The sequence below is a fragment of the Homo sapiens genome, chromosome 20 (genome assembly GCF_000001405.40).
Source record: "Homo sapiens chromosome 20, GRCh38.p14 Primary Assembly".
Classification (NCBI taxonomy): Eukaryota; Metazoa; Chordata; class Mammalia; order Primates; family Hominidae; genus Homo; species Homo sapiens.
In genome coordinates this window covers 59,716,581-59,731,127 of record NC_000020.11, presented here as the reverse complement: position 1 = coordinate 59,731,127, position 14,547 = coordinate 59,716,581, and the positions used below count along the sequence as shown (strand labels likewise).

The window sequence follows — 14,547 nt, the reverse complement described above, 5'->3', positions numbered from 1 at the left end:
CTTTCTAAACCTAAAGCATAAGGTGAGTTTCTTATATATAATATCAGCAAAAGGTTAAAGAAAAACAAAAGTCAATTTAAAAACTGTGTCTACTCTAGCATTTTTCAGAGGGATTAAATGCATTTAAGTGCTAGGAAGACTTTAAGCCAACAGATTTGTGTTTTGAAAATGCGTCCCTCACTCACTTTGCTTAGGTCAGGAATTGGCAAATGTCTTCTGTAAGGGGCCAAATAATAAAACTCTGAGGCTTTGCGGGCCACACAGTCTCTGCTGCCGCCACTCAGCTCTGCTGCTGTAGTGTGAAGCAGCCACAGATGGGACATAAATTAATGGGCATGGCTATGTTGCAATAAAACTTTATTTGCAAAAACTAGTAGAAAGTGCATTTGGTTTGTGCATTTGACAGTTCCTGGCTTAAGTGATCCTTTAAGAAATGTCTTCTGGGAAAAAATACTACTGGGTGCCCCAAGAAGAAAAAGGGAGAGAATAAATGGTTTTGGATCCTGATCTCTTATCTTCATTTCACTTCTAACCCCTGGGGGCAGTCCAGCATCACTTTCACCTGTACAGTTCTGCAGCCTCTGCCCTGGTTTCCCGCTTCCACTCCTGCCTACCCCGCAAGCAAGCAAGCAAACAGGGCCTTATATTGCTCCCCACATGACATCACAGTGGCTCTTAGGATGAAATATAAAACCCCCACTGTAACCCCAGAGCCCTGGCCTCCATTTCTTAAGCTTCTCTACCACCATGGCCCTCCTCGCTCATTAAGTGCTTTCCCACAATAGGGCTGCCTTCTGTGCCATTCCCTCTGGAGGCAACACTTTTCTCTGATGAACTCCTATTCATCCCTCATGGTCTCACCCTTCCTACCCACCTGTTAGGTTTCCTGTTATTTTTCCACCATGGCCTTCAGCACAATTTTTAATTAGCTCTTGATGTATGTGTTCATTAGTTTTATGTCCATCCTGGCTACTTGACCGTGAGAGCAGAGACCAAGTGTGACCTGTACAGCAGCCTCTGCAGGCCCTGAAACAGAGCTCAGGAGGGCCTAGCCAGGGCTCAACAAGTATATGAGAACCAAAAGGAGATGGGCTGAAGGTCCATCTGTGCTCAAGTGCACAGTCCCTACCTGTGCATACCAGTCTAGGCCCATCTGAAGCTTAAATCCTGCAGAATAGAGCGTGCTTCTGAAGATTTACCAAGTCCGGGTCCAACGTGAATTCAATGACTTTCCCTGACACACCGAGGAGGATTTTCACCCAAGAGCCAAGGACATCATGCTTGAATGTCTGGAACTGTCTGCATTTCTGATGTCATCAGGGCTGCTCGCTTCATCACAGGCCCCTTGCCTGGGCCTGGTTCCTCTGGTGATTGTCATGGAAGTGACACAGCAAGATGGAACCATTCCAACAAACCAGCAAGTCATGCAGTGCGGGCTTTCCGGGAGCAGCTGACAGCAGGTGACAGAGCCAGTCCCTCTGGGACCCTTCTCCTGAGATGGCACCATCTGTGGGCATCCTTAAAGGTCACCCATGGCTGTTGAGGAACCACTTTCTCTGTGCCCACAGGGAGGGCCAGCCCGGCTAGCAGATGCATCACTAACTCCCCTAGCTCTGGCCCCTCGCTCTTCATCATCCTGGGACACTAAGGTGTCTCTGGTCTCCAGTGAGTGATCTGGGCCATGCAATTTCTTTGCCCACTGCCCCCTCACTCTGCACACTGCACTGGCTCACTCGTGCCCCGGTCTCCTTTTCCTTTTCTGAGCATCTTCTCTGGGCCTGAGACCCAGTGCCTGCCCTCACAGTCCTGAGGCCTGGGAGCGGGGACAGCCAAGTGAATGGTCACTCAGGACAATGTGACTTTGCTACATCCGCCCTGCCCTGACTCCCCCGGCCCAGGTCTCCCTCATCGCTCCCAGGTTCCCGCAATGCCCTCCCTTCGGGTCACATGGCATACACCCCTGACCCCGCCTTACCCTGCCTCAAACCCTCCAGTGGCTTCCACAGGAGTTAGGCCTCCCTTTGGCCCTCAAAGCCCTGTGACCTCTCCCTGTGAGCAGCTCCAACCTCACAGTTCTCTGCAGCCTCCCCAGGCTCATCCCCACCTCCGGATCCTAGTAAGCAGCCCCTCAAGGGAGGCTCTCCTCCACCTTTGCAAAGCTGCCTCCTTCTTATCACTTGGGTTTCATTGCAAACATCTCCTCCTGGTCCATCAGAGCAACAGTGAGACATCCAAGCACCCTCCCACCCAACCCAAAATTCTCCGCATGGCACACACTCCCTCCACGGTGCTGTTATTTCAGCTGACTTGGTGTTGTCGGTCCCTCCCCACTGGAGTGACCTTGTCTATAGCAGGCACCCAACAAATACTTTGGAAGGAATCAGGGAATGAATTAATGAGTGGAAGAGGCAGGACAGAGATTAAGACGGGGTTCTGTGGTCAGAAAAAGGAATGGTCTCCAGACTCAGGTAAGACTCTTTGTGGAAAAGAGATGACAGCTGAGGTCACTTTTGAAAAAATCAATAGGAGTTAAGAAAGCTATAATAATAATAATAATAACAAAAGGTAATAGTCCATTGTATGGAAATTGTTAATCCATCGATCTGTCGATGGGCATTTAGGTTGTCTCCACATACTGGCTATTGTGAACAACAGTGCTGCTATTGGACATTCGTGTGCAGGTTTTTTTCCCCCTAATACCTGTTTTCAGTTGTTTTAGTTAGATACCCGGAAGTGGAGCTGCTAGCTCATACAGTAATCCTATATTTCACATTTCCAAGAACCACCCAATTGTTTTCCACAATGACTGCACCATGTTACGCTCTTACCAGGAAGAAAGCACTGACACCCACTGCAGCACAGATGACCCCCAAGATCATGGTGCTAAACGAAAGGAGCCAGTCACAGAAGACCACTCAACAAGGCAGAGTGGTGGCTGCCGCGGGATGTGGGAGGGGAGAATGGGCATGGGATCTCCTTTGGATGTGATGTGACAATGTTCGGGAACTAGACACATGTGGCAGATGCCAATATCATGAATGTACTAAATGCCACTGAATTGTACACTTTAAAATAGTTAATTTTGTGCTATATGAATTTTACCTCAACAACAGTAACAACAAAATAAACAAAATCCCCTATCCATTGGGTATTTGGTGCCAGACGATTTTGGGCTGAGCCCTTTTCATGTCTCATTCCACGCAATCATCACACCACTAAGGAGGCAGGTGTTACAGGTGCAGTATTCTTGATCCGAAACACTTGGGACCAGAAGTGTTTCGGATTTCAGATTTCTTCTGATTTTGGAATATTTGCATTACCAGTTGAGCATCCAAAACTTTGAAATCCAAAATGTTCTGATGAATATTTTCTTTGAGCATCATGTCAACACTAAAAAAGTTTCGAATTTCAGAGCATTTCAGACTTAAAATGTTTGAATTAGGCTATTCGGCTTTATAAGTACCTCATTTAACAGGTGAGAAAAGTGAGGCTCAGAGGGAGAGGTGACTTGCCCAAGGTCACATGGCATCAAGTGGCACAGCGAGGCCTCAAACCCAGGGACCGTGAATTCTCAAGATTCAAACCTGCCCAACACAGCCACTTCTCCTCCAGGAGACAGAAAGTCTCTGAGGGTCAAGAACGGCGCCTCTGACAACCCAGTAGTTCCCCCATCCCTTCTCTAAGCTGTGGCATGGTGGCGCTGACTACAGTCCTTATACACGACTGGCACTTTTACATCAGGCAGAAAGTATGACCTAAAGCAAAAACAGCCCAAATGTCCATCAGCGGACAAATGGACACATCAAGTATAGTCTATCCAGACCATGGAACATTCCCCAGCCATAAAAGGGAATGAGGCCTGGACACCTGCTACAGTGTGGAGGGACCCTGATAACATGATGCTGCATGGGGACAGCCGGCCACAAAAGTCCATATAGCGTCCGTACAGCGTATGATTCCATTTACATGAAATGTTCAGCACAGACCAATTCATACAGACAGAAAGTAGATGCGTAGTTATCAGGGGCTTGGAGGAGGGGAGAATGAGGAGTATCACACAATTTCCTTGTAGGTGATGAAAGGTTCTGGAATTAGACAGCAGTGATGGTTTTGCAACAATGTGACTGCACTCACTGCACAGAGCACTGAACTGTACTCTTTGGTTATTTAAATTAAGAATTTAATCAAAAACACTGTAAAATGAAAAGACAAAACACAGTGCAGGAAAAGATGTTTGTAACATATTTAACTGGACATAGTCCAGTTTCTAGAATATCAAAAGAACTCCCACAAATGAACAAAGTCAAATAACCCTGTGGAAAATATGCAAAGTCCGGGAACACCTTCCAAAAGGAGGTATCCAAACCGTCAACAGCATATAAAAAAGATGTTCCCCCTAATTAATATTCAGGAAAATGCAAATTATATCTAGCATGATTGGCACACATGAATCGTACCCTTTAAAAGGGTTGAAATGGTAAATTTGATGTTACACATAGTTTAGTGCAAAGAAAAACACAAAAAGCATGTCCTCATCCTGTGGAACTCCCTACCAAGTCAAGAAGCTGGGGCTGGACCAACAAAGCCAACCTATAAGAGCAGGGGTTTCCAGGGAGGGAGAAGGAGCAAACAGTTCTGCATTTTTCCGTTTGCCTGCGTCTTGAGTCTGGCTTGACCTGGTGGCGAGGAGGCCCAGTGTCATGGGGAATAAGTGGTGCAGTGATTCCAGCAGCAGCAGCTCTGCACTGAGCAAAGCACTTCCCATTGACTTAGTGCTGGTGGCTTCTGGGCCTGGCATTCTGGTCACACACACCAGGCCAGCCCTTAGCAGAAGTAGGATTGGGGGGCCAACAAAAAGCTGGCCAGTATGCCAAGTGACAACCCAAACATGCAGCATGACTGTGATTTATGCAGATTTCAAAGAGCAGTAAAGTCTCATGCAATATGCAAACTTAAAATTACCCTAAATTAAAAATTTATCAAGGATCACATATTTCAAAGCATCTGGCTGTGGGGATTGTCAACTGGGCTCGTGCCATCGACCCTGGAGGCACTGCTATAGCTGACATCAGAAGCACGTCTCCCTCGTGCTGGAGCACATGGTACACCCTGTTCTGGAAGGCCTGTCGGAGAGGATCGGAGTAGAACACTGGATCCACATGGCCTGACCCCAAGCGGATACTGTCAGTGCTCTGCCCACCCCTCCAGTCCAAGGCTGTGGAGCCTCCCAGCTCCCATGTGCTTTTGCCCCTAAGGGCACCCCTACAGGCCAACTCCCAGCCTCTCAGCCTCTCTGTCCTCCTGCACAGAGCCGAGAGCCAATGACTGGTGGTGGCAAGAATGTAGCCTAGCCCCTGGCCTCAGCAGAGACAAACTCTGACACACTCATGCTCAGAGTACCCTCAGGGTCAGGCTGCAACTGCCCCTGCACAGCTGTGCCTGATACTACCCCTCCTTGGCCTCCCTGTGCCACTTTCCCAGCACTGGTGCCAGCTTCTCCTGGGACAGCTTTCTTATAAATTACTTGCTCTCAAATCCTCATTCCAGGGTCACCTCCCCAAAACCCAAATCAAGACAATCATCTGCTCTGGGCCAGGTACTGGGGTGATACCCATGAGCAAAACCAGGTGTGGTGTCTGTCCTCACTGAGCTCACAGCCCACCTGGGTTCACAGCCTCAATAAGGCACACAGCCCACCTGAGCTCACACCCACCTAAGCTCATACCGATCTGGGCTCACAGCCTCGGTGGGCACACAGCCCACCTGGACTCACTGAGCTCACGGCACACCTGGGCTCACACCCACCTGAGCTCATAGCCTCACTGAACTCACATCCACCTGGACTCACAGCTGCCTGAGCACACAGGACACCTGGGCTCACAACCTCACTGAGCACACAGGACACCTGGGCTCACAACCTCACTGAGCACACAGCACACCTGGGTTCACAGCCTTACTGAGCACGCAGCACACCTGGGCTTGCAGCCACCTGAGTGCATAGCCTCACTGAACTCACATCCACCTGGGCTCACAGCCTTACTGAGCACACAGCACACCTGGGTTCACAGCCTCACTGAGCACACAGCACACCTGGGCTCACATCCACCCTCCTCTCAACATACCTGAGCTCAAACCCACCTGGGCTCACAGCCTCACTAAGCACAGAGCACACCTAGGCTCACAGCTTCCTGAGCACACAGCTTACCTGGGCTCACACCCACGTGGGTTCACAGCCTCACTGAGCACACAGCACACCTGAGCACATACCTACCTGGCACACAGCCACCAGGGTTCACAGACATCAATTAGTGAATGTTGCACATCATAGCTGCATCATGAAAATGCAGGTAAGCATTTTGAGGAGAGGGGGAGAGTCGCTTGAGAGCGTGTACTGGAACTGGAGAAACTTCCTGAAAGAGATGCCTCAAGCTGAGGTGAAAACGATCAGCTAACTGCAAAAGGCTAACTGACTGGCCCAGGATCACACAGCATTGGGTGACGGCCCTGGTTATATGCACTAGGCTTCAAATCTCCCCAGGTGAAGAGGATTCCTACAGGTCCCTGCCGGCCACGCACGCCTGAGGGTGCCCAGACCAGAGTATTACAAAGCATGGAACTCATTCAGTAGCTTCTTGCAAACTTCAAAGGCAAAGAGACTGTGGACCTCACAATGATCCTATTCCTCCCCATTCAGATGCCTTTTTAAAAAACATTACTCTCAAACTGCCTTTATGAACATAAAATATTGGAAGTTCTTTGATCACAGTTCCCAGCCTAGCAAGCAACCTCCACGTGGTGGTTTAAATACACTGTTGAAATGGAGTCCCTGGGGACCACTCCGGTCTTGGCCTCAGAAATCATTTCCTCCTTCATGCATTAAGTAAATGAAATTAAGCCTGAGAGCTCAAGTCCTTTTGGGGGTTGAAATGAACATGGGCAGGAACAGAATGAGAGAAGCCCTGCTCTAGATCACATCCCGACCCTGAGGGTGCACGTTGGCCAGCCCAGGCGCCACCTCTCGTGGCCAGGGATGTGTTGGCACTATGGCCGGGCAGCTGCTCAGGTCAGGTGTGACCATGTGAAAGGTGTTCAGGCTCAATAAAAGGTGTGGGCAAGGAGGTGAGAAATCAGAGCCTTCACACACAGTGGGGAGGATGCAGACCAGGCAGCCAACATGGAAGGAGTCTGGCAACTCCTCAAATAATTCAACATCGAGTCACCATACAGTGATTCTACTCCTGAGCAGACCACAAAGACCTAGTCGCCATGTAACCATTCTACTCCTGAGCAGACCTTGAGGACCGAGTCACCATGAACATTCTACTCCTGACCACACCCCAGAGACCGAGTCACCATATGACCATTCTCACTCCTTACCATTGCCCAAAGACCGAGTCGCCATATGACCATTCGACTCCTCAGTAGACCCCAATGACCGAGTCACCGTACGATGATTCTGCTCCTGAGCTTGCCCCGAAGACTGGGTCACCATATAACCATCTGACTCCTGAGTAGATCCCGTAGAACTGAAAACAGGTGTCCACACAAAAATGTGCACGTGAATATGCACAGCAGCTCTACTCATAATAGACACAAAGTGGGAAAGAAACCCAAATGCCCATCAACGGATGAATGGATAAAGAGAGTATGGTCTATGTATCATGGAATACTATCAGCCCTAAACTGGCAATGCCGCAATGCAGGTGAACTTGAAAACACGGTGTTAGGTGAAACAACCCTGCCACAGCACACCCCACACTGTACGATCCTATTTGTATGAAGTGTCCAGAGAGACAGAAAGTAGATTCACGGTTGCCAGGGGTAGGGAAAGGGGAAGTGGGGAGGGAGCACTTAATGGACATGGGGTTTCCTCTTGGGATGATGAAAGTGTTTTAAAATTAGACTGTGGTGCAGTTGCACAAACCCGTGAGTGTAGCAAAAACCACAGAACTGTGAACTGTATAAGGGTGAATTGTATAATATGTGAATTATAGTTCAATAAAGCTGAAGAAAGAAAGAAAGAAAGAAAGAAAGAAAGAAAGAAAGAAAGAAAGAAAGAAAGAAAGAGAAAGAAAGAAAGAAAAAGAGAAATAAATAAAAAAGAAAAAAAGGGAAGAAAACCAAGATGGTCAGGGCCTGCCCACATCCTCTCTCAGGGCCATAGGCTGAGCTGGTTGAGAGCCACAGGGCGTCTTTCCCAGCACACCATATAGGAGTCCATCTGATAGCACGTGGGACCCAGCAGCCACACAAGCTTGCCTCTTACAAGCTGCGGTGCTCACCACCACCCCCATGCCCCCACCGTGAGCAGAGGCTCCTCCCAAAACAAGCATGAGTATTTGCTAACCTCTCCCAAACCCCTGAGGGCTCCTCTTCCGCCATGGCTGCCCCTCAAGCCCACTCCCCATCATGTGTGGCATGCATGATGGCAAGAGTGTCCCCCTCATCCCCTGCCCATCCCAGCTGCCATTCTGGCCACTTCCCGGTCCACTGACCTTATGGAAGCAAAGAGATCCCCAGCAATGCACAGCAGGCCTTGCCGTCCTGTGCTGAAACCCTCCAGGGCATCCTCCCACCCCTCCATTAAGGATCCAATCCAAACCCCCTGAGGAGCCTCTGGCCTCACTTGGTGCCTTCTCCATCATGCTCCCTCCATTCCAGCCACGCTGACTGCACAGGGAAGTCCCTGATCGTGCCCTGTTTGTTGCTGCCTCAGGGCCTTCCAATCAGCCACCCTCTCTGCCAGGAATACCTTCTCCCAACACTGCCACAGTGCTGACTCCTCACCCCTGAATGCCCACTGCACAGAGGTGCCCACCCTGCCCACCCACTGTAGTGGCTTCCTGTACCTTCCTCAGTTCAATCTGAGGTGCCACCTTGTTTTACTTTTTTTTTTGAGACAGAGTCTCACTCTGCTGCCCAGGCTGGAGTGCAGTGGCATGTTCTTGGCTCACTGCAAGCTCCGCCTCCCAGGTTCACACCATTCTCCTGCCTCAGCCTCCCGAGTAGCTGGGACCACAGGTGCCCGCCACCACACCCGGCTAATTTTTCTGTATTTTTTAGTAGATATGGGGTTTCACTGTGTTAGCCAGGATGGTCTCGATCTCCTGACCTTGTGATCTGCCTGCATCGGCCTCCCAAAGTGCTGGGATTACAGGCGTGAGTCACCCTGACTGGGCCCTTGTTTTACTTTCTTTGGGCCACTTGTCACTCTTTGACGTCGTCTTGTGTATTTCTTTTCTTTTCTGTTGGAATACAAGTTCCTTGAGAACGGGGACTTTGTCTGTTTGTCCAACCATTGTATGCCCACAGAGCAGCAGGGGCTCAATACATTTCAGTTGATAGCAAATAACTACTGTGTTCAAGTTCCTCCGCCCTCAGGATGGGAAGCCCCCAGGCAGCAGTATCCTCCCCACGCAATCTGGTCCTTGTCACTCTCCAGCCTCCCGACTCATCACCCTTTGCTCCAACCAGACTGGCCTCATCTAGATTCCTTAGGTATCTCTAGTTTCAAGAACTTTACACGCACTTTGCCTTCTAGAACCCCCTTCCCAACTCCTGGCCTGGCCATCTTCTACTCTGGGTAACAACTTACACTTTTCTTCCTTCAAAAGGCGTTCCCGACATCAGTGGACAAAGTTGCTTTGTGCTGCCACATCCCCCACCATCGCCCCATCATCATGTCTCACCCAGAGCTGGGAGTCACTGGTTTCATCAGGTTTCTTGCTGGACTGACTCCTTCCAGGGGGAGAGACAGGCGTGTCTTGCCCCGCCACCTACCAGCACAGAATCTCCACAAAGTCAGTCCTAGGAAGGACCTCTGGAGAGAAGAATGGCCACCGCAGATGCATCCTACACAGCCTGGGGCAGCAGAGCAAGGCTTGGGCCCCATGAGCCAGAATGGACTGGGTTTGAATGCAAGCTCTTATTAACTGTTCAAACTTGGGCAAGTTACATAACCTCTCTGAGCTTCCGTTTCCTGTCATGTGCAATGGGGATAATACTAGTACCTGCCACAAATAGTGGCTGTAAGAATTAAATGAGCTAATGCATAGGAAAGGGTTGACATGGTGCCTGGCAATAACAATGTTAATAAATGCTAGCCAGCCACAGCACCACCTCCATCATCCATTTTTCTAAGCACCGTGGTGTACCACGGTCCCTGACACCCAGTACAGAAATCCACGGTGCCTGACACCCACTACAGAAATCCTGGGTGAAAATCACTCGATTTTCAAGGACACCACAAAAAGCAAACATTTTTTATCAAGTCTTTAATTTTCAACACAATAAATGTTCCCTTCCGAAAGCAAATGACTGAAGATAAATTAAAAAATCAGCAGTTCCTTCTGGAATCTGCGAGGACTGGGTTAGATGTTTTTAGGAGAAGTGGCCACTTTGGCAAGATTCTTAAATCCTTCTTAAGAGGATTCTGGAAAAAAAATGCACGGCAAACACAATTTGGAAGAGCTGATGTACTTGGATCAAAGGAGACGTAGGGGATTGTGTGCACCTTCGGCTTCCCCTTGAAGTGGACTTTGGCAGGAGGCCTCGGGCTGCATGAGGGAGACCAGCCCTGAGTGGGCACACTCAGAGGGTAGAGTCAAGCACAGCGTTGCGCTTAGTAGGTGCCATCAGCACCATGGTCTCTGGTGGAGCACCATGAGATAAAATTACTGGACTACCCCCAGCAAGTGCCCCCCCAGTATGCAAAGGGGACAGGAATTGAGAGACAGAAGAGCCCGTGGCCTCTGCCTGTCTGAGTTTCCCACGCCCATCCGGGTGAACACCTGGATTCATTGATGGGCAGCTTTTGTGTTTATTGATCATGTATTATGGACACAACACGGGCCTGCAGAGCCCAGCAGACCACCCTGTGAGATGTGGACCACTTTGTACAAGCCCACCCAAAGAAATGGCGACTTTTCGGACCAGATATGCTAGCCTGCTCGAGAGATGTTATGGTCTTCAAGATAGCACTGTGCCACACCGCAAGGTAACTGGTCACGGTGCCCCTTCCTCGTTTTAGGTCTGCCCAGCACAGATGCCTGTTCCCTGTGCTCATCATATGCCTCCTATGAGAGAGCTGGAAGGGCAGGAAAACCAAGAAATGGAAACACAGGCCCCACTTTCTGGCATCTACAATATCATTTGGAAAAACAAAATGCAACCAGCTGGCATTTTGAAAACATGGAGAAAGCCTGGGCTTCAGAATGAGGAGACGCAAGCCCTCGGACAGGCTCCATTTCTTCCTGGCCTATGACCTTAGGCAGCCCCAGGGCCCTCCAAGCCTTTCCAGGGTCATCATTTGTAAAACGGGGCAACAATAATGTTAACATCAGTCACACCAGTGATGCAACGGGAAGAAGAAGGGGTCACTAAAACCAACTAGTTTGGGAAGCCGAACTAATTCCCCTGAATCTTTCAAATTCCCCAATCCTTGCAGATTCCAGAAGGAACTGCTGATTTTTTTCAAGTCCAATCTTTCAAGTAAGCTAGGGGTTGCATGTTCCATGCTACCATTGCCCTGGGGGAAGGTGGGCTAAAGGCTACTGAGACATCCTTTTGGCTGAAAGCACAACAACCCTTCAGGTTCTGGCAAATTTGAAACTCTCTCAAGAAGAAAAATAAAAGGTAGGAAATTCCCCTTAAGAATAAGCTAAGAGACCGGGAGCGGTGGCTCATGCCTATAATCCCAACACTTTGGGAGGCCGAGGTGGGTGGATCACAAGGTCAGGAGTTCAAGACCAGCCTGGCCAAGATGGTAAAACCCTGTCTCTACTAAAAATACAAAAATTAGCCGGGTGTGGTGGCAGGCGCCTGTAATCCCAGCTACTCGGGAGGCTGAGGCAGAGAATTGCTTGAACCCGGGAGGTGGAAGTTATAGTGAGCTGAGATCGCACCACTGCACTCCAGTCTGGTGGACAGAGTGAGATTCTGTTTCAAAAAAAAAGAAAAAGCTAAGAATAAGAGAAAGGGAATTTCGCCCCAGCATGCAGTTTAGCAGCCCGACAGCCCCGGGGGAGGTGCATTCTTAATTCATTCATCTGGTGTTAGCAAGGGCTGCAAACTAATTTATTTAAAAGAAAAAAACCCTCATGCAACTGTACACTTTCACACATTAAATTTTCATAAGATCTGATGGATTCTTGTCTGGATGAGGAATGGCTCTCAGGAGGGGCTTGCCACCACTTGGAGGAGCAGAGACGCTTTCTGGTGACAACACGCCCATGCGTAGGCCAAGCAAAACGACGCAACCATTCACAGCTGCTTGCAACACAGGATAGACATACGCCGCCATCTCCGCAAGGCTGAAATATGTTGACACCCTTTTTAAAACAGAGCCGTGTAAAGTGAAAAGTTGCATATTCCTCAAGGTTTTAATTTAACTCGCATTAGATTGAACCATTTAAAACTGCCAATATTCAGCTGTCATCGACCCACAAAATTGGCAATTTCAAACAGGTCACCTTAATATAAGTCAAAACCAGATCTCATTCCATAATGAAATATAAACAAAGATAGGAACATGATTAAAATTATTTTGGAGGTTTTTTTTTTTTCTATAGCATCAAAAGGGGCCTTTCACGATGCTGTACCTGCATGTCTCTTTCCTCTAATTCCAGGCACTGCACACACTGGATTTGACCCTTGTAGATGGTCCAGGTGGGTGAAACCACTGGCCCTGGGGTCAGAGACCTTGGAGGGGTCTTGCTGGAGCCCAGCCACAGATACTGCATCTGCATTTGCCTCTGCATTTTCTTCCTCCCCAACAGGACCAGATGGAAATGATGGGCTGGGCAGCAGGATGCCTCATGATCCAGGGTCAGTCTCAGCCACACAGCAACCAGGAGAGGAACTGGTGGCTCTGGGTACTGTGTGGCAACTTAAGAAGTTGTCATTCTCCAAGCAGGGCAGAGCAAGCAGCCTGGGAGGTGGGCACCAACAGTGACACAGCTGCCCAGGACTCAGGCCTGGGGGAGCCATTTCAAATCTTCCATGTGACAAGGTTTGGGGAAGAAAGACAGAAAAGGGAGAATCTTTTTGCCCTTGACCACCTAACTTCTGGGTTTCCCCAGCCCCTAGCTTCTAAGAATATGTGAGGAAACTACAAACCCAAGCTTCCTTCCACTTGCGACCTTTTCCAGCCTCTTAGCTGTATCTGTGAACCTGGATGGGAGGTCCATTCCAGGACATGGAGCTACCATCACAAAGGACATAAATCTGTCTACAATGAAACTGAAAGACTGGATGATAAATGAATACATTTGAGTGCTTCATCAAAGATTTAAGTGCCTTGAATTTTTGCAGAGGTTTTCTTAGACTTCAGACTTCTAAAAAATGCCATTCTGGAGGAATAGTCAAAAAAACCACACCTTTATATAGCAAAGTCATTTTTGTTAAGCAAGTAGTTTTCTTCTTTAGAGATCTCTAACAAGGAACAGATCTATATATCATGGTTTACGCCAGCACCAGGAAGAACACGGGCTGGGGGGTGGGTTTCCAGTGGGGATTCCAGCTCCACCCCTGAGCATGCACCAGGCTGTGAGCGAGTTGCTCCACCTCTCTGAGCACGGGTGTCCCAGGCTCTAGAACCTGAGTGATAATGCTATCCCCCTTACAGGGCTGTTGTCACAGTTAAATGAGATAAAGCACTCAGCACAGTGCTGCAAATGTGAATTAAGTTAGACAGTGGGATAAGTTCAGTGGATTTCATCCGTGTCAGTATCCCAATTAGGTGTGTATATTCTAGTTTAGCACTGGGGGAAAATTGAGGAAAGGGTACACAAGATATCTCCCTGCCATTTGTCATAGCTGCATGCACATTTACAATTATCTCAATAAAAACTTCAATTTAAAAAAGTCACCCAGTGCTGTTTTCATTATTAAGATCATTAATTCTGCCAAAAAGAATACACTAAATAAACACTCAAGGGCCCTTTCAATTTTTCATGAATCCAAGAAATAATTATTTTTATGTACTGTTTGTGTTGGAAACAAAATGAATGTAGGAATAAAACAACTTCTTAAAATAATCTTAATGCAGTAAATCTATTTAATTTTTGTGTTTATGAGCATAATAAATTTCAATTGCACTTCATCCATCCATTAATTCACTCATTCATTCATTCATGTATTTTACTAACACTAAGAGAGCACCCAGTGCTGGGCATGGGGACCCATCAGGGAGCATGATAGATTCAGCCTTCACCCACGCTTGCGTTTTTTGCCTATTAATGGCCTTCTGGAACCCTTTAGAAAGGAAGGAGAGCAAGGCGCATTTATTGAGCACCTACTGTGTGCCTGGTTTTGCATTGGGCACAAGAGTATCATTGGTGAGTAGAAGAGGTGCAACTGTTTTCATCATGAAGCCCGCAATTTGGTGACAACAAATGACATTAAAACAAAAATAATCATACAGATAAATGTGTGAATTATGAACATGTAAATGCTAGGAGAGAAGAGCATGGGGGCTCTGAGCTTAGGGGACTGGAGAATCTCCTTTAGCCCAGGGACCAAGAAAGTCCTCTCTAAAAAAAGTGACAT

General features: G+C 48.3%; 1 protein-coding gene across 13 annotated transcripts in view, besides 1 other annotated feature; it reads right to left on the bottom strand.

Annotated features, from left to right (window-relative positions):
- The window catches only part of PHACTR3 (phosphatase and actin regulator 3), a 270,203-nt gene that overhangs the window by 116,584 nt on the left and 139,072 nt on the right, over positions 1–14,547 (bottom strand). For 2 of the 13 annotated variants that reach the window (NM_183244.2, NM_183246.2), the window contains exon 1: positions 9,690–9,902. The exons of the other annotated variants lie outside the window; for them this stretch is intronic. The gene's annotated coding sequence lies outside the window, so the exon portion shown is untranslated. Of the gene's footprint in view, positions 1–9,689; positions 9,903–14,547 lie in introns of those variants that run through there. 13 annotated transcript variants of the gene reach the window in all.
- Positions 8,329–8,378: an enhancer, noted in NCBI's record as "active region_18189". NCBI's record gives its function as "activates an Ori minimal core promoter by ATAC-STARR-seq in GM12878 lymphoblastoid cells {active_cell/tissue: GM12878}" and the evidence as "EXISTENCE:reporter gene assay evidence [ECO:0000049][PMID:35858748]".